The sequence below is a fragment of the Homo sapiens genome, chromosome 15 (genome assembly GCF_000001405.40).
Source record: "Homo sapiens chromosome 15, GRCh38.p14 Primary Assembly".
Taxonomy (NCBI): Eukaryota; Metazoa; Chordata; class Mammalia; order Primates; family Hominidae; genus Homo; species Homo sapiens.
In genome coordinates, this window is record NC_000015.10 from 98866757 (window position 1) to 98890796 (window position 24040).

The following is a 24040-nucleotide window of genomic DNA, read 5'->3' on the forward strand; positions in this document are numbered from 1 at the left end:
AGCACGAGTGAGGGGTGATGTCCGCTTGTTTGCTCCCATCATGTTGTTTTTAATGTGTGAAAGTGAAAGTTTTAAAAGTCATACTAAATGTGTGATCCTTTTTAGAATTCACTGGGTACGGGTACGTGGAGGAAGTGTTTTTGTTTTTGTGAATTTGTTTAAACAAATGACTGAGGCTTTGTTTTCCACTCTGTCTGGCCAAGCACCATTGCTACACTTTTTTAAATTCATGACATCCTGAGCAGTGAAGCTGTTCTTCAGCCCGCCTCTCCATTTGTGACTGGAAGACAAGGAGGCAGACACCAATGGCGCCTCTCACAATGGAGGTTTATTTTTTTTTAATCTAACGGAGGGATTGTAGATGGTGTAAAACTTCCTTGTGCCAGGAGAGAAAGGGGGAGAGAGAGAGAGAGAGAGAGAGAGAGAGAAATAACCCATTCTAAACAACTTTAGGAATAGATGATCCGTAGGCATCAACTTTGCGCAGCAACAAAAGCCACTTTCTGAACCTCGTTCTGTGAAGTTTTAAAACAAATTGGGTTTGTTTAATTAAAATATTTCTTAAAGGCAAAAAGCACTGAGCTAATTTTTAAGAATTTTAAGTTATATATTAATATGAGTAGTGATTTATAATTTTCTGTTGAAATACATAAATTCGAGAAGCCCCACCCCTACCACTTGCCAGTCTTGAGTCCCCACGGCTCCTTTGCCTAGGTCTAAAGTCACTGCTTGCACACTCCTGCCTTGCATATGCCTTGCCATCGTGTGGGCCTCTTGGCTGGAAGTGTTCTTGTCCTCCCGTTAGGTATCTTTTATGACGTGAATCCTTACCTCTAATTATTATCTGTGTGTACATCTCATCACCTGCATCTGACTGTGTGCCTTGTGTATGTCTCTTAGCCCTCACAATTGCCTGACATGCCTTACAAACGGGTAGACCAAGTGTTAAATGAACAAATATTTAATAAGAACTTAAAAGCTTTTTGACTTTATATATTTTTAAAGCCATTGTGATTAAACACTATGTTTGATGTGGTGCTAATTCTGTGCTTTATCAACTGTGTGAATTGTAGTATTTTTAAAGTAGGAATAATTGAGAAATATTTTGAAGTTAGGTTAAGCATAGCAGTAAAGTTTCCACTTTTTAAAATAGCCAAATCCAGGCCAGGCGCAGTGGCTCGTGTCTCCAATGTCAGCACTTTGGGAGGCCAGGGCGGGCAGATCGCTTGAGGTCGGGAGTTCGAGACTAGCCTGGCCAACGTGACGAAACCCCGTCTCTGCTAAAAATACAAAAATTAGATGGTTGTGGTGGTGCATGCCTGTAATCCCAGCTACTCAGAGAAGTGTTTGAACCCGGGAGTTGGGGGTTGCAGTGAGTTGAGATTTCACCACTGCACTCCAGCTGGGGCAAAAGAATGAGTGAAACTCTGTCTCCAAAAAAAAATCAGAGCGTGGTGGTGCACACCTGTAGTCCCAGATACTTGGGAGGCTGAGATGGAGGTCAAGGCTTCAGTGAGCCATGATGGCACCACTGCACTCCAGCCTGGACAACAGAGTAAGACCTTGTCTCCAAAAAAAAAAAAAAAAAGCCAAATCTGTTGGGTTTTTTTTTTTGGGGGGGGGGTCCTTTAGAATGGCCCTGACAGATCTTTAAGGCATGGAAATGAGCCTTATGCAAGCTCCTGGCAATCAGTATGTGAGTTCTGTCTCCTTGGCAAGATACAGCCTCTTAGACCCTCAGTCTGGGGAAATAATGCTGATTTCTCCTACGAGTTACGAGAATTACGCTAGAAAACTCTGTGGCGCATACAGGTGCCCTGTAGCCTGTTGGTTAGAAGCACTGACCCTGAAGTCAGGTCGCCCAGGTTGGAATTCCAGCTCTGCCTTCTTCAAGCTGTGTGACTCTGGGAAGTCACACACACTCTCTCTTTGTGCCTCAGGCTCTGGTTCTGAAGATGGGAACGGCAGGCCCTCCCTCTTTGGCTTGTTGCACAGATGAAATCTGACAGCGTATGCCAAGCGCTTAGCACGGGTAGCAGTGAGTGCCCCGTAAATGTTAGGTACCTTCCTACTACTACTAAACATTCATTCTTCCCTTCCCTGCTAGTACCTGCAGCTCTGACTCATCTCACACCCTTGAGAGAGGATTATCTTCATTAAAAAGTTTTTGGTCTGCCCAGAAGCAAGTGTTACCTGTGAGAGAGCTGGGCTTGTGCATAGGTTAGATTATTTCTTTGGGTTATTCCTGGGGAAACCTGCAAAGAAATGCAGCCAGAGGCCTCTGGTTCATTTTACTGCTCATCTCCTAAAAGTGGTTTCTCAGATTTTTATCCTTTTTTTCTCTTTTTCGAGGAAGGGGCAAGGAAATATTTTTTCATATTATTCTTGTCATCGTCTATTTATTTAATAACAGTTGACTGTTGAAACATAGGAAAGTACTTATCCGCCAGGAAACTCCCTTCTATTATTGGACTTACTTGCTTTCCATTTATATGTTGTCTAATTCCAAAGAGATTTCGAGACAGCTTTCAATTAAAAAAAACAAACAACAACAACAACAAAAAAAAACACCACATACCGCATGGGTATTACACAGGACCTGTATGGTCAAATTGGCAACGACCACACCACATGAGAAGGAAGATTATTCTTCCTGGAACCTGGCTCCCTTGAGATTCTTTTTTTTTTTTTTTTTTAGACGGCGTTTCGCCCTTGTTGCCCAGGCTGGAGTGCAATGGCACGATCTCCGGCTCACCGCAACCTCCACCTCTCGGGTTCAAGCGATTCTCCTGCCTCAGCCTCCCGAGTAGCTGGGATTACAGGCATGTGCCACCACACTCGGCTAATTTTGTGTTTTTAGTAGAGATGGGGTTTCTCCATGTTGGTCAGGGTGGTCTCGAACTCCCATCCTCAGGTGATCCACGCGCCTCACCCTCCCAAAGTGCTGGGATTACAGGCATGAACCACCGCACTCCCTTGAGATTCTTGTAAGCCAAGGCAGAAGAAGAGACATCTTAAAGTCTGTATGTGCACACCTGCCTCCCCCCATTTTATATACAATTCAAGGGCTTTGCTTTTGGAAAGTTTGCCTATGTAGTCGTCCAGGGCTAAATTAACACCTGTCTCTATCTGTGTGTAAGGCTCTCTGGGAGGAGCTGTGAGGCAAATAAAAATAAGGAATGGTGTCCCGCAAGGAGCTTACAATGTGTGCATTACAAGTATATACTGAGCATGGCCCTGGGAACACAGTGAAAAAACAGGATTCCTGCCCTAGTACAGTGTACACTAGTGGAAGAGAGAGAGGCAGTAAACCTAAAAGTAAGTCTTTTAAAAACTGTGGTAAAATGCACATAACATAAAATTTACCATCCAACCGTTTTTATGTGTACAGTTCAGTGACAGTAAGAACATTCACATTGTTTTGCAGCCGTGACCATCATTTATATTCAGAACTCTTTTCATCTCGCACAACTGAAGTTGTACCTATTAAACAGTAACTCCTCATTCTCTCTTCCACCTAGGCCCTGGCCAAAAACAAAAATAAGTCTTTGATTGTAAACACGATCAGTGCTTTGAAGGAGATGGGAAGGATGTTATCATAAAATGATGGGGCTGCAGGAATGGCACCTACTCAGAGAGGGCGGTCAGGAGAGACCTCTTGGGAATGATGACATCCAGCAGGCAGGTCATTAAGGCATCTCTAGGCAGGTCCAGAGTGCAAGGAGGCATAAGCCAGGCAGGTGGAACAGCGTGTGTGAAGGCCCAGAGTCAGGAAATGGTCTGCTTCCTTCCAAGGAAAAGAAAACAGCCAGTGTGGTTGGAGCAGGGGCTAGGAGAGAAAAGATGTGCATGTGTGTGTGTGTTTGTGTATCCCCATCATGATTTAGTACTGTCAGCGCTTCTGTGTTCTGAACCTGGAGTACAGGCAGACACAGCCGCATCCCAGAAGCTCAAGAGTGCCCATACCAGGAAATTACAGAAATCTTTGCCAAATGGATGAGTGAATGCAACTTCCTTGATACAGGGTCAGAGAGGGGAAATCTGAGAAAAGCAGGTGGGCAATGTACTCCTGACATACTCCCTTCCGTTGCAATGGCCTTGAGTGATGGAGCAAGAGTGAAGGAATGTTCCCATGGCACTGGCACCAGGATGACTTTTTGTGAAGCAGAGCAGTTGGTCTTAGATAGTGGAGGTGCGGGAGGCATGAGAACTGGGCAGTCTGACGGCTGCACCAGCCAGTTGGCTGTCCTTTCCACCTCCATGCCCAGGAGCTGGCCCAGGGCGCGCATGCACAAAGCCAGTGCTCTTTTCAATCAGAAAACAGCCTGCGTATGTTCTTGCTTGCAACTCAGATATCCAGCCCACTGATCCAGGAAGAGATTCCTTTGACCTGGGAAGTCATAATGGCAGATATTTAGACCCAGCTCTCAAGCAAGCATCCAAGTTGTTCCGGTGAACCCGTAACTTTGAGTAACCTCTGATTGAACCAGAGAGTAGGAACTAGGTGCAGAACCTTGTTGAATAGAATTGTTTAGCATCGTCCATTTGTTAGAGCATTTCAGGATGCCTGTCCTAAAATTTGGTATCATAATGGTATTTACCTCTCACTCACCTCCATCTCAGCCCAGTAATTAATAACAAGGGACTTGCTTCTTCACCTGTTTCTTTATTGGTTGTAGGAAGTCTTTTCCTTACCACAGAGGAAGGAGCTTCTGGATCCCTTTGCTACGTCCAGAGAGTTTTCATCTAATCTGGGTGTATTAGTCCATTTTCACACTGCTGATAAAGACATACTCAAGACTGGGCAATTTACAAAAGAAAGAAGTTTATTGGACTCACAGTTTCATGTGACTGGAGAGGCCTCAAAATCATGGCGGAAAGTGAAAGGTACATCTCACATGGCAGCAGCCAAGAGAAGAAGAGCTTGTGCAGGGAAACTTCCATTTTAAAAACCATCAGATCTTGTGAGACATATTAACTAATAACAGCAAGGGAAAAACCCACCCCATGATTCAGTTAGCTCCCGGCGGGTCCCTCCCACAACATGTGGGAATTATAGGAGCTACAAGATGAGATTTGGGTGGGGACACAGAGCCAAACCATATCACTGTGTAAAAGTTGAATAAAGTTATTTAGGAGCACATTGTATTGGGAGTTTGTTTGTTTGTTGAAGAGCCAAGTAAAGTCATTGGAAGCATGGGAAACTTTTTTCCCTGTCTAAAAGGAACTCCTTCCTAGTGGAAGTTGAAAGCTTTCTTGGCAGCCTCAGCCCCCACCCTACCTCCACCACCCCAGTGGGTACCTGCATCCTGAAGACCCTTCACAATAGCATCTGAACTATACTGGGCCTTCAAATGATGTCTTGGGTAAACCCATGTCCAACCTGCACTAAATGAAGATTATTTTCGAGCGAATGGATTGAAGAACAGTGCTGAAAAACTAGAATTTGTAATATTTTCATTTGAGCAGAGGTGAAATTTGAAATATTTTAGAATCTTGTCTTATGATTTTTTTTCTTTCTTTGCCACATAGCCCTCCCCTGGAAATTAAATCTGTGGATTACTAGTATATGAACTGATCAGAGACATGGCTTGGGGTCTCCCCATTTACCCACTTCCCAGCACGTTATAATCCACTGGACACCTCCAAGGATGAGAGACCAGCGGGTCATAATGCGAGACTGGACATCTCTCCTACCCCATGTACACTTCAGCTGAGCAGGCAGAATTAGCAGAGTCAGGACTAGAAGTTCAGTCTAGGGATCAAATAATAATAGTAGCTAATGTTTAAAGAGTACCTAAGATCCGCCAGGAGACATACTCAGTATAGTTCCGTGGTTTGCCACATTTCATCTTATACCAGTAGCACAGGTGAAATTTGTCTTATGTGTATACTGAGGAAAACAAGTCCCTCTGATACACAGCAGCCAATAAATGACAAAGCTGGGATAGAAACTTACTTCATTCTAACCCGAGAGTCCCTGTTCTTGCATGGGCACAGCCTGCCATCCCCATGCTCTGCCTCCTAAGCAGAGGATGAACTTAAGCATCTTAAAATTTTAAACATTGACTTTCCCTAAAACCAATTAAAAAAAAAAACAAAACAGACAGACAGACATGACTTGTGCCCTTAAAAATGCAGCCAGGCTGGCATATAAATGGGCGTAGGCTGTTTCTAAATTTTTTGCTTTAAATTTTGCCAGCATAGCTTCTGGACTGGTAGTTTTGTTTGCTTTTTAATATATTTTTGACACTGTGTACAGAGGAATGCTACCTCGCGTCATCATGTCCTCCTCCCTGAAGGCAAGCCAAGGATGTCAAGGGGCCACTTCAGGGGATGTGCACCCTGAAGGTAAAGCTGCTCCAGTGGGAGGGGTTGGGGTAAATGACAATGTTAGCAGCTGGTAAATTTTTTTACATGGGATATCTCACAAGACTTATTGATGCATGTTATACGTAATAACCTGAGGCACATCAACATTTTCCACTTTTTCCTATTCTTTCTGTATTTTCACTGATACTTTTTTTCAAAAAAATCTCCAATAAGTTTAGGATCAGCTTCAAGATTTCTCTTTAGGTAAATAGATTTGTATTTTTGATGGCCATCCTAGTCCAGTGTAAAGATATGGACAAGAAACCCCACATAAAGGAAGCAAGATCGCTGGCTGCTTTCTCTAGGTAGCTTGAGTTGTATACTAATTTGTAGATTATTTCTCTTCATCGAAAAAACAAAACATTCTGCAGAGGGCAGTCATGTGTCCGCTGTGCCTCTGCTCCTGTGTGCACCATAAAACTTGAAAGTGAGCCAGAATTTGAAAATATCGGATTGGGATGTGATTTCTTTAAGCCTCTGGCTAATTTAATATAAAGTGTTTACACTTCATTTTTCTGGCAGTGGATTTTCTATGTAGGTGGTGGAAGATTTCCTGTAAGTTTTGCAAGTTCCAGGGCAAAGAGAGTTGCAATATGCAATATCTTTCTGTGGTCACACCAACAGAAAGGGCGATTTCTTAACCTGCTGCAGTTACCATGTGTGTAGGTGGATGCTGGCTATTACAGATGGTATCCTTTCAACCCTCAAAATTGTTGCAAGTTCACAGGTATGTTAATGAAAATGAATAAGTGGCATTTTTAGGAATTCCAAATACTGAGTCTTGGAAGTAGATAATCTTTTCCCTAAATGTATGCTCCGGTCAGAACTGCTGCCTACCACACCTCGTGGGTGAAACAGATATTTCGAGCATGACTGAGCTTATTAAGAGCCCTGCGGCGCTTCCTCTGCCGGGGGTTTAGAAATTTCAAAGGATGGGGGTTGAGGGAGGGAGGAGTTATGGGCATGTGATGTGGACAGGGCGGGCAGGAGGATGGAAGTAACAGGTCCAAAATGTATCTTTGGTGGCCCGGCAGAGCTCTTGCATGGGGTGAGAATGGTAATTTAGGAAGAGCAAGTCTTCCCATCTGTGAAGCAGAAGAAAAAAGTGGACTTAAGGAGAAGTTCGGGTGCTGTTTATTTAGATAGGAGTAAGGAGAGTGCAGTTGGGGAAAAGCACTTCAGAGGCTTTACTTAGACTAGCAGAAGTCTGTTTGGCAGGGTGGGAAGCAAGTGCAGTTGGGAGAAAAACGTTTTCAATAGGCAGTTTCAGAATTGGAAATTGGAGGAGGGCAGTCCATTTCAACATTTCCAACAGTATTAAAGAAAATTTGCGGGTTGTTTGTCAAAAGGGGTCATATGCTTTAAAGATTGAGAGATCTTTTCGGTGAAGTAGGGGAGCTGGGGACATCGTGATGTGACAAGAGCCGTGGGCTCAGAGGCTGGGGACCTGGGTGTTTAACCCAACTCTTGTGAGTGGTGTGGCTTTCATAGCTTTGGTTCTCTGGTCTTCACTTTATCTGCCAAGTGAAGACATTTGACTGGATGTCGTGATCTTGAGTTGCTTTCAGCTCCAGAATTCGAAGACCCCTTCCATTGGGCATTCATCTAATTTCAAAGATGCTCCCTGGCTCCAGCTCTGCAGTGAAGCAGAACAAACTGATACAGCCTAGCTTGGGGGTGGGGAGTCGGCCCTCCTTTTCCCCTCCCTTCCCAGGTCCTCTGGGTGATTGGGGGAAACTGAGAAGCCGTTCTCTTCTCCAGAGCACTCCATTTAACAAGCATTGCAGAGCCTGGCTCGTGCTGCAGTGAACAAATGCTGACTTCAGCCTTTACCCTGGGTTTCAGGTCACACTGATTGTTTGCAAAACATGTTCTTTTTTTGTCACTTGCCAGTACTTGTTCTCTGTGAGTAAAACACAAACACATCCTCAGGGATGTTGCACACCAGTTTGCAGCCTGCAGCTTCTGCCCTCTGGCCTGCCCAGGTCCTCGGCTCCGGGACGAGGATGCTCCGGGATTTCGGGAGACAGCAGTTGTTTTGACATGAATCTCAAAGTTCCTACAAAGCTTATTTCTTTGAAGAAGGCCAAAAAAAAAAATGAAACATTTTCAGATCTTTGTTTTCAGATTATTCAAGTCCAGAATGTTGGATAAGATTTTTGAAGAAGAGATTTATGCTTGAGATTCCTTTTAGTTTCTTTCTTTCTTTTCTTTTCTTTTCTTTTTTTTTTTTTTTTAGGTGACTTGGCCAGTTTGGGTTTTTACGGTGTTCAGGGAAAGGGTTAAGAAGTTAATTTGGGAAGTACAGTCATGTGTTGTACAAGTTGCTGTCTACTGATCCCTTCATTGAGCAAGTAAACTTCACACATTCTCGTGTCTGCAAAGCATGTGGATGCATGGGCAGTTATGTGTATGAACTTTTTTTTTTTTTGAGAATGGCTTTAGTGTTCAGACCAAGGATGGAATGAAAGATCACGTGTGCTTTCCACTGTAGAGCTGCCCTGCTTGTTTTGATTTTATAGTTATTCTAAGTGTTAAGTTCCTTCATCTTTCAAAGCAAATTCCTTTGATCCCTGAAAATCAGCTAATGTTTGGGAGGCAATTAAAAGATGAGGCTGTGGGGTTGGGGTGAAGGCTTCCCCAGCAGGAAGAGAGGAGAAGCCCACTGGATCTGGGAGCACGGTGCTAGGACTCTCTAAGCGTGACCTCCTTCAGTTTGGCCCAGAGTGGTCAGATAGTTTGCCGGGGCATAGGATGGATGACAGGCCTCATACGCATCACGTCTGAAGGGAAAGCCCTTGAATTTTCCACGCTACTTTTTAGTAACAGTAGGCTTTGTCATAATTGGCTTCATGTTCCAGCTTTCCTAAAACTGTAAGTGATGTTGGGTGGGCCAGCAGCAAAATAATTCACTTTACAATTTGCATGATAGTCTGGAATGAACCGAATACCTAAAACCAGGAAATAATAGTAGATATTTAATGGTTTGGGGATCAAATAAGAATTTACTCCCAGATGTTTCCTAATTAATTGGAAAAAGCAGAAGGTTGCTGGAAGGCCATCTCCATTGGGCATTTACAGGTGAAATTCACTCTTCAACTAGGATTTTACTCATGGGATGCCTGTGTTCTTCATTTGAACCCAATTTTACCTATCATCTACAAAAAAAGAAAACTATTAAGAGTTAAAAAAAAAAAAAGAGAGAGAGAGTCTTGAACTTTGAAATCCTTCATCCACGTTTTATAAAGTGTGGGGTCAGATTTTTTCCCTAGTTGAAATTGAGGAAATGAGAGTTGCCAATATGATTGGATTTGTACTGCCAAGATGGGGTTTTAGCACTTCTAATGCATTCTGGCAAGGCTGGTATACTTGTATCAAGTGCACAGCCCCACTACCACCAGCTCTACCACCCACAAAAATAAAAACTAGCAAAATAAAATATGAGCCAACAGAATTCTGTGGGAATGGCAAGTGTTTTGTTTTTGTTTTTAGTAGTAATCTTTGCGAGAACATTCCAAAGATGATAGTTTTACATTTGTATGTTTTTTTCCGAGGCACTTTTGAATCATCAGATAGATTAAATATAAGTTCCATGTATTTTTGAAGGTGGGAGTGTTCTTTGGTACAGTTCCCCCAAAAAACTGGTTCTCATGAGGCTTATGTGGTAATTCTGTTAACGAGAATGTATGATTATCTGGGATACTCTGTTCTGCTCTCCATCCTGGATAAGAGTTTACTTTGAAAGTCTAGTTGATCTTTTGTGATTTCTGCACAATGTAAAAGGTACTTTAACTTCAGGAGATAGGGCCAGCAATCAGATTTGATGATGGAAAAGAGTAGTGTAGCATTTAAGCATAATGTATACTCTATAATAAATGTTTACAAGTCCAAAAGTGTGCCATCAGAAAGTAACCAGATCAAAGGAGAGGTGACCAGAGAAGCTGGAAAGATAAGAAATAAACAAGTTTCAAGGTTACTGATCTGTAGCTGTTGCTGTCCATGCTTCTTGGCAGCTTTAATTATGACAGGGAGAGGGACCCAGAGGGAGAGAGAGAGACTGACTTACACATAAAGGCATTTTATCACAAAGCCATCTAAAACAAAAGTGTTAAAGGCACAATGCTGTGTTTAAAAAGCATGTACTTCTTTAAGAGCTCAAATTTAAATATATAATACAAACTTAAGATCCAAGGAAGAAAATGGACCCAGGACACGAAGAGAAGTTAACGCCACAGGTAATGCAGATGGCCAAGAGATGTGTGAAAAAGATAATCCAGCCTCACCAACAGCCACAGAATTGAAATGAGATACCTGTTTCTGCTTCTGGCATTGGGAAAGAAAGAAAAATGGCACTAGCAGCCTTTTTTTTTTTTTTTTTTTTTTTTCCCCAAAAAATTTGCTACTCTTGAGGTTCTGTCAAAGAATGTGCTGTGGCCTCTAGAAGCATTTTTAAAAAGAGACTTTCACAAGTGATTGTGCAAAATTGTGAGGTCACTGAATAGGTGTGTATCCTCCTAAGGAGGTAGCGTTGGAGGAGCTGTTCTTGTTCAATTTACTCAGCACCTGTGAAGAGGCTTCACTGTGATTTGCCTGTACAGGTGTGCAGGTAAAAATCTAAGTTCCACAGGTAGTGCAAAAAAATCTACCTCCCTAGGTACCTCGTACATTTATCACAGTTTCCTGGTAAACAGTTCTGCTGTTGTTGACAAAATTTTATCAGAAACATTGCATACTCTTCTCTAAATAGTAGTTTCCCTACAAGTGGCTGTCTTCAGTTTAGTCGTTTAAGTTATGTTGACATAAATGATTATGTGTGTGGCAGGGGCTTTTGCGTAGGTTGTTGAAACATTGCACCTTTTGGACTAACAGTTTTTACCAAAATAGGCAGAAGTGACATTTGCAGCCACAGCTGTGTGGCATTGAGCGTCTAAGGTATGTGTAATAGGCAGTGTATCGGTAGCATTGATACCTTGGTCAACACCAGTAAGCCATGTAATTGCCCAGAAGTGGGCTCTAACACTAGTTTTAGGAGATGCAGCCAAAACGACAAAGCTGGAGGCCTCTCCCTCTGAGCTTGGCCTCCACTTGGTCAAAACAGTCCCCAGTTTGTCCCTACGGGACACAGGCCTGCCTTGTTAGGAAATCAGCAACATTTAGGAGCCCACAATACCTCACATAACTCTGTGTACAGTAACAGAGAATGGAAATAGGGCTGTAAGCATGAACAACCAGTCAAGTTACAAATATAGAATACTCTCTCAATTCCACTTTAGTTAGTCATGGAGGGACAGTGTGAGTTTTATAAACTTATAAGGAATATACAAACAGTTCCAAATTTAAAATAACTTGAAGTAACTTTTAAGTGTGTGAAAAGAATATTTTTTTCCACCCTGTCCATTTAAGCATCTGTGACAGGCAGTATTAAGTGATGGGTGTCTTTACGTACACATGCCTGTTGCTCACAGTACTGGGGAAGAGTTGCAAAATAGTCACCCATTCTGCAGTGATTTCTCTCTTCTTATTTGTGAAAGACTCAAAAAAAAAAAAAAAAAAAAAAAAAAAAAAAACAACAACAAAAAAAAGGCCAGGCACGGTGGCTCAGACCTATAATCCCAGCACCTTGGGAGGCCAAGTCAGGTGGATCACAAGGTCAGGAGAGCGAGACCATCCTGGCTAACACGGTGAAACCAACCCCGTCTCTACTAAAAATACAAAAAATTAGCTGGGCGTGGTGGTGGGCGCCTATAATCCCAGCTACTCGGGAAGCTGAGGCAGGAGAATTGCTTGAACCCGGGAGGTGGAGGTTGCAGTGAGCCGAAATTGTGCCATTGCACTCTAGCCTGGGCGCCAGAGCAAGACTCTGACTCAAAGAAAAAAAAAATAGGGGGGATGTGGGTTGTGAGAGCGACACTGTGTGTCCATGCGTGAAGAAACCCGGCTCATGATGACCTCGCCCCAGAACGCCGAAGCAGGGCCGGTCCAGCCTGGATTTCACAGTGTTCTTCATTGCCTTTGTCCTTGATTTTTTGTCGTTACCATTATAACTTATCTCTCTTTCCCAAATGTATAAGTAGGCTTTGAATATGAGTTTAAAAGAAAGAATTCGGGGATGATTTCAGAGTACACTAGAATATTTTTTAAAAGAATATTTTATAAAAATACAGTGATAGTAAAAGAAGTAGAAGGCCAAATTCCGCCCCCAGCCCCTTCTTAATATTGGACTTTATTCCTTTGCTTTTTTCCCTTGCTGCCATCTAAGGAGGCTTTCTGTGCTATAGCATCCAGTTCCTCTGCCAGGCATTTCTGTAAAGATGAGGCACCTTCCACTGTTTTATTCTCCATCATTAGAGCACGTGTCCTGCTGACTCGGAGCAGAGGGGAGGCACACGGGGGTGAACATTCCCTGACAGATTGGATGTCTCTTAACTCTTTTTTCCTGGTATCAAAGAATGGCACAATTTAGTTGATTTGATAGCGTTACCAAATCGTTTTTCCTTTAGAATGAATCTAGAATGCAGATAGATTCTGAGGTCCAGATGGGCCTCTCTCCACCAACCTGTGACCAGTGTACCTGTGATTTTATCACTGCACATTCATAGAAAGGTTACAGGGCTAATCTTCCCGTGATATGAATCATGAAAGTCAAAATTTATGAATGAAAATAAAAAGGAATGAAGTACTGATATATGCCACACCAGAGATAAATATTGAAAACATTACCTATGCTAAGTAAAAGAAGCCAGTCACAAAAGACACTACCTATTGTCTGATTCCATTCATGTAAAATATCCAGAATAGGCAAATCTATAGCGACGAAAAGTGTAATAGTGATTGCCTGGGAAAGGGGCGTGGGAAGCATGGCTAACGGGTATTGGGTTTTTCTTTGGGGTGATGAAAATATTGTTAAGATTAATTGTGGTGGTGTTTGTACAACTCTCTAAATATACTAAAAGCTACCAAATTGTACACTCTAAATGGGTGAGTTATAGGGTATGTGAATTAGATCTCAATAAAGCTATTGTAAAAAATGTGTGAAGGAAGGGGAAGCATCCTATAACCTATACCATCCCAACAGCCCAGCTAGAGGACGATTCCTGAGCCTCCTTCTCAGCCTTTGTGTTAATTCTTTGCATTGATGACTTCTCTCTCTTTACCCTTACTAATTAGCTCTCAAAACCTCTATTTAATAATGATGCTATTTATAACTTTCCTCCTTCTGGTTTCTTGCTTGCCCTTTTTGTGGTGTTTGCTTGTTTTTCTTTTTTCTCAATACTCTGCCCAGCGTTGCGTGTTGGTTCCGGAGACTTAAGTGATCCAGTGGGCACTGTCAGGCAATTATTTCTTTTGCTCATTAATTAAGTGTTCACAGATACATTCAGCAGCCAAACCTTGTGGCATGCCTTCTGTCCCAGACAGTGAGAATCTACTTGGAACTTGGATATTTCTGTGAGCCTTGATTATATACACCACCAAGGGGATGGCATAGAACTAAGTTTTTTCTTCTTCTCCACAACAGACTTTGTTCTTTAATTTCACAAGCTTGACATAGCCTATAAGACATCATAGTGGTACCATAGACAGTTTTCCCTTGATGCCCATGGGGGATTTGTTCTGGGACCTCCCACAGATACCAAAATCCACAGGTTTATCAGCAAGGGTCACTGCTCAATTGCAACAACTGAAGCAGAAGCTCCTCTCATCAGAGGCAGTTACTGCAGCATGTTCTGTAGGGCAAATATAACCATATGTAAGTGACTGTGCTATCAGGAGACAGAACAACAAGACCCAGAAAGACTCAGTGACCCACAGAGCCAGTTCCACCCAAACAAGTCTTAGTAATGAGATTAGATAATGAGAGTGTATTTTCTTCATCAATTCATGTAGCTCAGCAAGGCTGGAAACTGCTTGCACACTTCTGCAGAGAAAAAAAAAAGTTCCATTTGCTGGAACTCAATAAATAAAGAAGGCCTTAGTGGGTACGTGTTATCTCCTTAGCATCACCTGGATGCCTGACCCTTTTCCAGAGTGTCATGTTGCCTGGGTTTTGTCCTTCAGTCTAAGTGATACACCTCTTAGTGTGGCGGAGAAAAGGGTGCTGTATTTCTTCCTGATGGATACATGCTTAAATGGAAAAGTAGCATGAGATGAACTCCCATAGCCCCTTCCTTTTATTATTTTTAAAATATTCATTCATTTATTTATTTATTTTTGAGATGGAGTCTCACTCTGTCACCCAGGCTGGAGCGCAGTGGCGCGATCTCAGCTCACTGCAACCTCCGCCTCCCGGGTTCAAGCAATTCTCCTGCCTCGGCCTCCCGAGTAGCTAGGACTACAGGTGTGCCCACCACCACACCTAGCTAATTTTTGTATTTTTAGTAGAGATCGGCTTTCACCATGTTGACCAGGCTGGTCTTGAACTCTTGACCTCAGGTGATCCACCCGTCTCGGCCTTCCAAAGTGCTGGGATTACAGGCGTGAGCCACTGTGCCTGGCCGGCCCTTCCTTTTAGACAATAGAAACATGCTGCAACCACATACCACCATAAACACGGTGGGGGAAGAGGCTGCAATCAACAGTCAGGAGGATCTGGGTTCCAAGCCCAGGTTTGCAGTGTAACAGCTGTGTGCTCTTGGTGTGAACATTTGGTCATGTACAAATGAGGATAATGATACTGCCCCCTTGTGATCATTAGGGGGATTAAATTAAATGCAGAAATATATGTGAGATGCTTAATGTGTTGTAAGGCGCATGGAATATATTTAGTGAATATTAACTGTATATTAATACAAAGTCCTGTATTCAGAATCTCCAGTATAAATTACATTTATATAGTAGAGATATGAATAGTTTTTGTGAACAAGAAGACCTGGAACTTCAGGTGACTAGAAGCTCAGAGTGAGCCAGCTATGTTTGATGATAGTTATTCTTAAGATCACACAGAGAAACGGCAAGCAAGCTGCTTTGGGCAAAAAAGAGCATTTCTACACTGTTCAGACTGCCTCTGTACTGTTAGAATAGGTCTAGGGCGTGTTGCGTGAGTGGTGACTGAGTAAGATGTTCAGAGGGAAGCCGTGACCGTCATCTTGGAATATTGTTTGAAAGTCTGACCTGTACAAAGCAGCACTCACTTCCCCTGCGTGTCAGACACCTGCATGAGGGCTGGGGAGGGTCCAGTACAGGAAAGCGCATTTTTAATATGTGTATGGAGGAAGTTCGTCAAGATGGGTGCCATCTGGCAGTGGAGTAGCACTTCCTGGAAAGTAATGAGCTCCCTTGGACTTTGTTTGAAGAGTCACCCAGGTTTTTGTAAAGAAGTGTTTCAGATCAGTATGCAATGGATGACTGTAAATTTCTCTTCAGATCTAAGAATCTGTGATTGGATGAAAGGGAGAAAGGACTGCATAAGTGCTTGTTGCTTGTAAACTGGGCCAGGTGGATGTCATGGCCCTAGGAGCTTCTTGCCTGCCTTTGCATGCCATAAAGCAGTCCTGCAACCCAGTGTCACCTCAGAGGGATGGGAATGTAGAAGAAGAGAGTGAATAGGGACAGTGATGAGGGGTGAAAATATGTAACTCCTTGCCCCTTCTGTATACCCTAGTACATTAGGAAGTTCACCCTTGTCTAGGCTTCCTGTTAGGAAGACAGCAGACTCAAAATGGAGTCTCAACCCCTTTCAAAGACTGCAAGATCTCCTTGTACACACTGGACTTGGGAGAAAATGAGAGCTTTCAGGCCTGCTATCTTAACAGGTTCAGAAAGGTGTGGTCCAGCCCCCTGACTAACCAGCCCTGCTGTGCACACTGAGAATTCTGCTCAGGTGTACCTTTCTGTGTGCTCCTGGGTGCACCCCCAAAGTGCTGGTTCTCTTGAAAACCTTTTTATTTAGGTTCAGACAGACAAACTGTGGTATCTTCCATTCTGACCATAAAGTGTTTCTTCTGGGTCTAACTACTATAGTGGGATATTTTCTCTAGAACAAGAGGTTGTTTCTTTTTGGCATTGAGAAATGTTGCCGATGTGATTTTCTTTTGTGAACGTTTAAGACACAGCGCTTGCCACTTGAACTTTCTTTTGCCGTGCGTAGCTGATTCCACATAATGGCTGCAGCTCCAGGCAGAAACCTGTTTGGAAGTTGTTTTAAACTCTTCCTGGAATCTCTAGGCAGTGGCTCAGTGGGGTTTTTTTCCAACCATTCCTTAGGATGACCAGAAGCTTGACAGAATCCTCTTGTCTTCATTTTGAGAAAATATGTCTTTACTGTGTGTATGTGCAGCATTTGGTTTTACCTCGTGGGTCTAAGCATTTTCAACTAAGCTTCCTTTTCCAACCTAGCAGACTTGTTTAAAGAACTTCAAACTAATAGCCAAGCTGTAATACGGTGGCTCTCTCAGCCTGAGAAGCCTGTGCTCACCGTCACTCTCTTCTTCCCTGGGGTGATAGGGATGGGGAGTAGTGTGTGTGAGAGGACAGAAGCGAGGATTGATTGAAGATTATTTTACGAGGCGAGAGCATGGTGGCACACCTGTCAGCTGAGTGGACTCAGCGCCTGCCCCGGCTAGGCTGTCCTCCTCCTGTGCCAGCCGTGGGTTCCCTGAGTCCCTCTGCAGTCATTCATGGGTGCTGAAAATAAAGATACCCTTTCTGTCGAAAGTGTTCGCCGGGCTGCCTCTGCCTCCCTGGAAAAGCAGCAGGGCACACAGGCTTCCTAGGCAGCCCCTGAGGGAGGGGCTCTTTTTATTGTCACTCTGGTTAGTTTGAAGACCAGACAGAAGGCAGCAAAAACCAACCCTTTGTTGAAAACTCTTTGCCTTTAGGCCCTTGGTACCATGTTCATGAGGCTCCAGATAATTCCACAAATACATTATTATTGTTACCTAGACTTGGGGACAGAGAAGGGTGAAACATGGGTCTGGGAATTCACAGATGAATATACTGTAATCCCCTCGAGCACATTTCTTTTAAAGGAATGGGGGTATTCTAAAGGAGTGAACACTCCACTGGGGGGCTGCTAGGCCCCTGTGAACGGTGGCAGCCTTGGCCACGGTGTGTGCTGTGATCTCTCCTGGGTCCCCCGGGCATCCTCAGACCTCCCCCACACCCAACCCACAGTCCCTTCTCCATCCATCTGCTGACCACACCCCAGGATGTTTCCAGCTCAGATCACGCCTGATTGCATCCACACAAACTGCACGCCAGGCATTTCCGTTTGGATGTGTACACAAAAACAACACGTCCCAGACTGAGCTGATCTTTCTGTACCCCTCAAAAGAAAAGTTCTGTACCCGGCCAGGCCTGGTGGCTCACACCTGTAATCCCAGCACTTTGGGAGGCCAAGGCAGGAGGATCACGAGGTCAGGAGATTGAGACCATCCTGGGTAACACGGTGAAACCCTGTCTCTGCTAAAAATACAAAAAATTAGCTGGGCATGGTGGCGGGCGCCTGTAGTCCCAGCTACAGGAGAATGGCAAGAATCCGGAAGGCAAAGCTGGAGCTTGCAGTGAGCTGAGATTGAGCCACTGCACTCCAGCCTGGTGACAGAGTGACACTCCGTCTCAAAAAAAAAAAAAAAAAAAAAGAAATTCTGTACCCTTCCAGATGGTCCTGGACATATCTTGAATCTACCCTGCTTTTCCTCATCTGCACTGCTGTCCTCTTGATCTGGGCTACTGAGGCTAGAATGCACATCTGATCATGTGCCTCCTGCTTAAAATAGTATTTTTCCTCTTAAGAGTAGTCCAAACTCCTATTGCTGGATTAAAAGGCTGTTCCAGGCTCTCCCTACCTCAGGGCACACCATCTTTCCTCCCAGTCTCCCCTCCCCTCTGTCTCCAGTGCTTCCATCCTTCAGTCATGCTGAGGTTGTCTTTGTTACCTTTGCTTCTCTTGGCCCGCACTCTCTGTTGGCTCTGCCAGCATCCCTATGCACCTGCTAGCTCCTACTCACTTGTCCAGCTTTGGCCTGGAAGTCCCTTCCCCTGGCAGGCAGCCCTAAGCTACCCTTTGCTTGCTACTGGCTCATATTCTCACTGCTTGTCCTCAGGCTGTGAGCCCTGGGAGGGCTGGGCTGAGTCCCCGAACCTGCCACGTCTATAGGGTGTAACCTACCTGAGGCCTGACTGCTAAAATCAAAAGAAGCCTTTCTCATTTGCTTAGCTGAGCTAAGTCCTTTCTGGAGAAGAATGCCCACGTCCTGGGTGGACTTCTGTTCGGCCTGGGGCAGGACGCTGCATGTCAGTTCACCTAGAGCCCCTCGCTTGCCCTCACCCCTCTCCCTTTCCTTCTCCTCCCCGTGTTGTCTCATGGTCAGTTCCTCTCCTGGCAAGGCAAGAGAATCATAAAATCTCTTTGGACCATGTGTCTCTCTGATGCACTTTGGAGGTTGAAGCTCACTTTCGTGAAGTTAGGAGCGGTTAATCCTCCTGCACGAGGATGCATGCCTGCTAGGGAAAGCCTCCCTGCGTTTATATGGAACAGTGGTGTGTACCTTAGGGCAACCCAGAAACAGCTGAGATGGCCCTAAACTCTTCCGTATTTTGATTCAGAAGCTTTACCTTATTTGAACATCTGCAGAATAAGTTCTTTCCTTTAGAAATGATTGGGGATAAAATTGTTTGCATTATGAAATATTGTATGGCCAGGTGGCCCCTCTTTCATGTTTTGTTCCTTGTGAAGAGGTTGAGTCTCCTATTTTTTTTTTTTTTTTGGAGATAGAGTTTTGTTCTTGTCCCTCAGGCTGGAGTAAAATGGTGCAATCTTGGCTCACTGCAACCTCCGCCTCCTGGGTTCAAACGATTCTCCTGCCTCAGCCTCCCAAGTAGCTGGGATCACAGGCACGTGCCACCACACCTGGCTAATTTTTGTATTTTTAGTAAGAGATGGGGTTTCGCCATGTTGGGCAGGCTGGTCTTGAACTCCTGACCTCAGTTGATCTGCCCGCCTCGGCCTCCCAAAGTGCTGGGATCACAGGCGTGAGCCACCACGCCCAGCCTATGGTATGCTTTTAAAAATGGTTTCTCTGCACTAATGATTATTTAAAAAAAAAACTCTGGCAAGAACAAAAACAAATGGTTTTTTAAAAACTCTAGAAATAATTTGATACATTCGAGGACTCTGGAGAGGGAGAGAGTTAAAGGCTGATGTGTGTGACTCTTTTTCCTCTCCCCCCAAGGAAAAAAAATGAAGAGAAGGAGCTTTTAAGTGCAGTGCCTCGTTTTTATGTGATTGCAAACCTGAACCAATCCTTTTAGTGGTGGATGTGGGACATGTTAGCTTTTCCAACAGTTTAGATGGGCCTTTGTTTTTATTGTTGGTCACTGTAAGAATTCCAAGGAATAGAAGGATCTCATGGGCAAAATCAGTTTGCTTTTTTCTCTGTATATTTGTTAGTTTATAGCAGCTTCTATTTTCCTCCTATTTTTAAAAGCTGAAATGCCTTTAATCGCACTCAGTGTGTTTATTCATGGAAGCCAGAGAAGAGGGTCCCTTCCTTTCCCCCATAGCGCCGTAATTGGAAATTTGGTAGTACTAGGTGAAATTCTCAGTTTTGGCGCTCGCATGGAACAGCCATCCATCTGCTGGCGAGACACACTGCCCGGGGCTTTTCAAGAAATCCCTTAATGGTCCTGAACACTAATAATATTTATATACATTGAGATGAGACAAAATTTACAGCGGGCTCTGGGGCTGGCTCCAGGACTCTCTAATCCCACACTTGCTCACGTTCTCTTGCTTGCCTCCTAGAATCCTTTCAGGTTGTGCTTCAGTGAGGGGAGCATGGTGTCCGTCTCTGCAGCAATGCTTATTTATGCAGTTCGTCCTCTAACAAACAGAGCAACTTTCCTTTTGACCTTCCCCTCTTCTCCCCATCACATTCCATTGCTGCCCCCGCATAGAGCATGTGCTTATGCATAGTTTGCATCATTTAACACGAAGGAACCCCTTGATTTGTGATCCCTTTAAGAAGTTGCTCTGTATATAAAGAAAATGATTTTTCCTGGTTGGTTTTACTGAAGTTCCTTCAGAAATAGCTCCCACCACCGAAACACACCTGACTTCCCCAGCCTGTGTATCGGTTGTGGCACGGACTGACTGACTGGATGGTATAATTTCACTCACTCCTTTGGGAAGTTTCGGGGGACTACTGCTCAGATGTGTGGGAAATGCGGAATATATCTACAGGTACTTTGTCAGTTTTTTTTTTTCTTTTCTTTCTCATCCTGGAAAATCCCGGCATTGATATTTAGGTATAACTATTTGCAAGCAAGTGCAGAGGGACATTTTTCTGTTCTTTTCAACGTTCTTATTACTACTGCATTAATAGCTACTTGATCTTAATGTCTATTACACATCATTTTATATAATGTTTTCTTTAAATTGTCAGGGAAAGGGATTCTGCAAGTAGATGTTGGTCCCCCCAGTTAGTGTCTGATGATGATGGTAAGATTCTCAGAGTTTCCTTCCTCTAATGACAAAGCATGGTGATGGTGATGTCTGAAGAGCAGCCTCGGTGCTCCAAGATGGGTGTATGCTTAATACTGCTGGCACACGCCTGACGAGCGGGAATGTGAGCGTTGTTTCTGTAACCAGTTTTACTGAACCTCACAGATCCATTATACGACGTGAATTTTGTGGGAATAACATAGGCTGGGAGTCTGCTCTCTTCCAGCCTGGTCCCTCTCTTCTTTCAGCCCTACCCTCTCTGATCATCATGTCCCTTGCACTGCGGCCAGGTAACCTTTCTGATACGAAGGTCTGGGCATGTTGTTCCCTTGCCTAAAACTTTCCATGGTTTCGTATTATCCACAGTTGGGCTAAACCCTCTGGGACAGGCCTTCAGTGCCTCCCCGGGCAGTGGTCCCTGGCCTTCTTCAGTAACACCCAAGCCCTTGCACCCACAGTGACCTCGTTGCTTTTACAAGCATTTACATGTGATGTTCTTTATTCCTCCCTTGCTCATCTTTCCACTTTCAACTCCACAAAACCGTCCTCGGCACCCAGAAGCCCAGGAAACACCAGGCAGCTCCACTCACTCCCGTACTTGCTGTGTCGTCCGTTCCCTGGGGACAGGATTGTCGCTGATCCTGCGTGCATCTGTCTGGCACACAGGTGCAGCACACATTAAATAGCTGCTAAATGAATAAATGAAGAATAGATGGAATTATATTCTGTTGTGACCAGTTTAAAAACATGAAATTGGAATACCCAATTGCAGTGTTTCTTTAGATCTTGGACCTTGAGGTGACCTCTGTAATGGATATATTTGAAATTATTAACTGTCTTCAAGTGGGGGTTTGATGAGAGAGAGAGAGAGTGTGTGTGTGTGTGTGTGTGTGTGTGTTTACAGAAAATATGCTAGGTTTGTACATTCAAATTTGTGTTATCCTCTTCAAGAAAGTCACCTTGGTAGACAGCATATATATCCCAACATTTTAGGAACTCATAAAATGCATACTTTTTTGGTGTGATCAGAGATGGGTAACTCCTTATTACTTGTGGGTTAGATTAGTTTTTGGAAATAGCCTGGAGTCATTGAGAGCCAATCCTTATCAACAAAATGGCATAAATGGACAGGAATGGGTTTCTTCTTCACTTTAGAGATAGCTCTGAAGACATGTCTCAGTTGGGATTAGTTCAGTTGCATATATGAATAGCAGTCATTGAAACAAGATAAAAGTGTATGTCTCTCACATCTAAAGAAGTCTGGAGTAAGCAGTCCAGGGTTAGCCTAGCGGCCCCACTCTCATAAGGGACTAAGTTCCTTTTATCTCGCTTCACCATTCTTGATGTTTCGCCTTGTGGTCCAAGGTTGGTACTTGAGCTCCAAGCATTACTACTGCATTCCAGCCAGCAAGGAGGAGGATGGCCATGCCCTCTTTGTTCTCAGGAGTCTTCCAGGAAGTTCCAGTCACAACGTTTGTTTATATCTCACTGGCCAGAACTTAAGTCATATGGCCACCTCTAGCTACAAGGAAGGCTGGGAGATGTAGTCTGTAACTGGATGGCCATATTATCAACTAAAAATTACTGAAAATGACAAGAAGAATAAATAATGGAAGGCAACCTGTTGTTTCTGTCAAAGGATGACTTCAAAAGAGAAAGTTGCAAAAGTATTTCAAGCTTGACAGTATCATGACAGTTTTCTTCAGAGGTGACGCTATTCATTTGCATGTCCAAGTTCTGATATCTGTTTTCAAGTTCACCTATTTGCAGCGAAATAGGAACTCTTGGAGGCAACTAGTGGGTGTGTAAACCGGTACAAACTTTCTAGAGGACAGTTTAACCCAACAAGATGAATTCTGGAAATTGATCCTAATGAAATGTTAAGGGTGCTCATGAAGATTGCTTTGCCGATTGCAATAATAAAAAGTAAAGAAAATATCTTATAATTGGGGACAGGTGTAACTTATGATACATTCCACAATGGAGTGTAATACTGCTGTTAAATGTTTGTGGAATTCACAATCTTTTATGCCAAAAGAAAGCTTTCAGAATGGCTTGTCTTTTTTGTAGATACTTGTATTTATATGTCCATGCACATACATAAGAAAGGACCAGGGAAGGTCTGCTTGAAGATATTAATAAAGGGGTCACTTGTGGGTAGGTGGACTTACTTGTTCTCTATATTCTCTTTACTTGTTTGTGATCTCTGGTTTTTTTAATCATGTATTTTTATTACAAGAAAAAACAAATTCTAGAATCTCCACTCAATATTGCATGTCAGAGTCAAAAAGATACACATTTAAATAATTTTGTATTGTTTTCCAATTTGAGGATAAAGTAGGAAATGTATAATGCAAACCAGATTTCATATTTTGTTGATTTAGACTTAATTTACAAGTAAGGCTGACAGCCCACAGAGTGTGATCACGACAGCATTGTTATGGAAATAAATGCCAGCTCATGCATTTGGGATGTACACCATGGATCTGTGGTTATTAGATACTGATTTCACTTTAGCACACGAAGAGGCTTAGCGGAGGTGGCTTCTAATATCCTATGGTTCTGTGGGCTCGGAGATGCTACTCACCCACTTGTCAGAGGCATTGAAACCAGAGCAACTGCATCTTGAATAGGAGCTAGGTAAAATGAGGCCGAATTCCCAGACAGTTAAGACATTCTGAGTCACAGGATGAGGTTAAAGGTCAGCACAAAATACAGGTCATAAAGACCTTGCTGATCTAGCAGATGCAGTTAAAGAAGCCGGCGCAAACCCACCAAAACCAAGATGGTAACGAGAGTGACCTGTGATCGTCCTCACTGCTGCACTCCCACCAGCGCCATGAGTGTTTACATGTCATAGCAACATCAGGAAGTTACCCTATATGGTCTAAAATGGAGAGGTATGAATAATCCACCCCTTGTTTAGCGTGTCATAAAAATGGGCAACCAGCAGCCTTCCAGGCTGCTCTGTGTATGGAGTAGCCATTCTTCTGTTCCTTTACTTTCCTAATCAGCTTGCTTTCAGTTTACAGACTCACCCTGAATTATTCTTGCGTAAGATCTAAGAACCCTCTCTTGGGGTCTGGATCAGGACTCCTTTCCTGTAACACACCTATGTTCTTGGACTTAAGAATGACCCTCAGACATGGTGACTTCTTTGTCATCTAACAGCTTTGGCTTATTTGAGGTAAAACCTTTGATATCTAAGGCAGCAGAAATTTCCCTGAA

The 24040-nt window shown here is 43.5% G+C and overlaps 1 protein-coding gene across 8 annotated transcripts in view, besides 2 other annotated features; it reads left to right on the top strand.

Moving 5' to 3' along the window:
- The window catches only part of IGF1R (insulin like growth factor 1 receptor), a 315992-nt gene that overhangs the window by 218218 nt on the left and 73734 nt on the right, over positions 1–24040 (top strand). The window contains exon 1 of one of the 8 annotated variants that reach the window (XM_011521516.3): positions 1–23712. This exon is cut by the window's left edge and continues 12824 nt beyond it. The exons of the other annotated variants lie outside the window; for them this stretch is intronic. The gene's annotated coding sequence lies outside the window, so the exon portion shown is untranslated. The remainder of the gene's footprint in view (positions 23713–24040) is intronic. 8 annotated transcript variants of the gene reach the window in all.
- Positions 17079–17671: an enhancer, noted in NCBI's record as "H3K4me1 hESC enhancer chr15:99427064-99427656 (GRCh37/hg19 assembly coordinates)". NCBI's record gives its function as "activates a minimal SCP1, AML or CMV promoter by ChIP-STARR-seq in primed H9 embryonic stem cells {active_cell/tissue: H9 hESC(primed)}" and the evidence as "EXISTENCE:reporter gene assay evidence [ECO:0000049][PMID:30033119]".
- Positions 17672–18264: an enhancer, noted in NCBI's record as "H3K27ac-H3K4me1 hESC enhancer chr15:99427657-99428249 (GRCh37/hg19 assembly coordinates)". NCBI's record gives its function as "activates a minimal SCP1, AML or CMV promoter by ChIP-STARR-seq in primed H9 embryonic stem cells {active_cell/tissue: H9 hESC(primed)}" and the evidence as "EXISTENCE:reporter gene assay evidence [ECO:0000049][PMID:30033119]".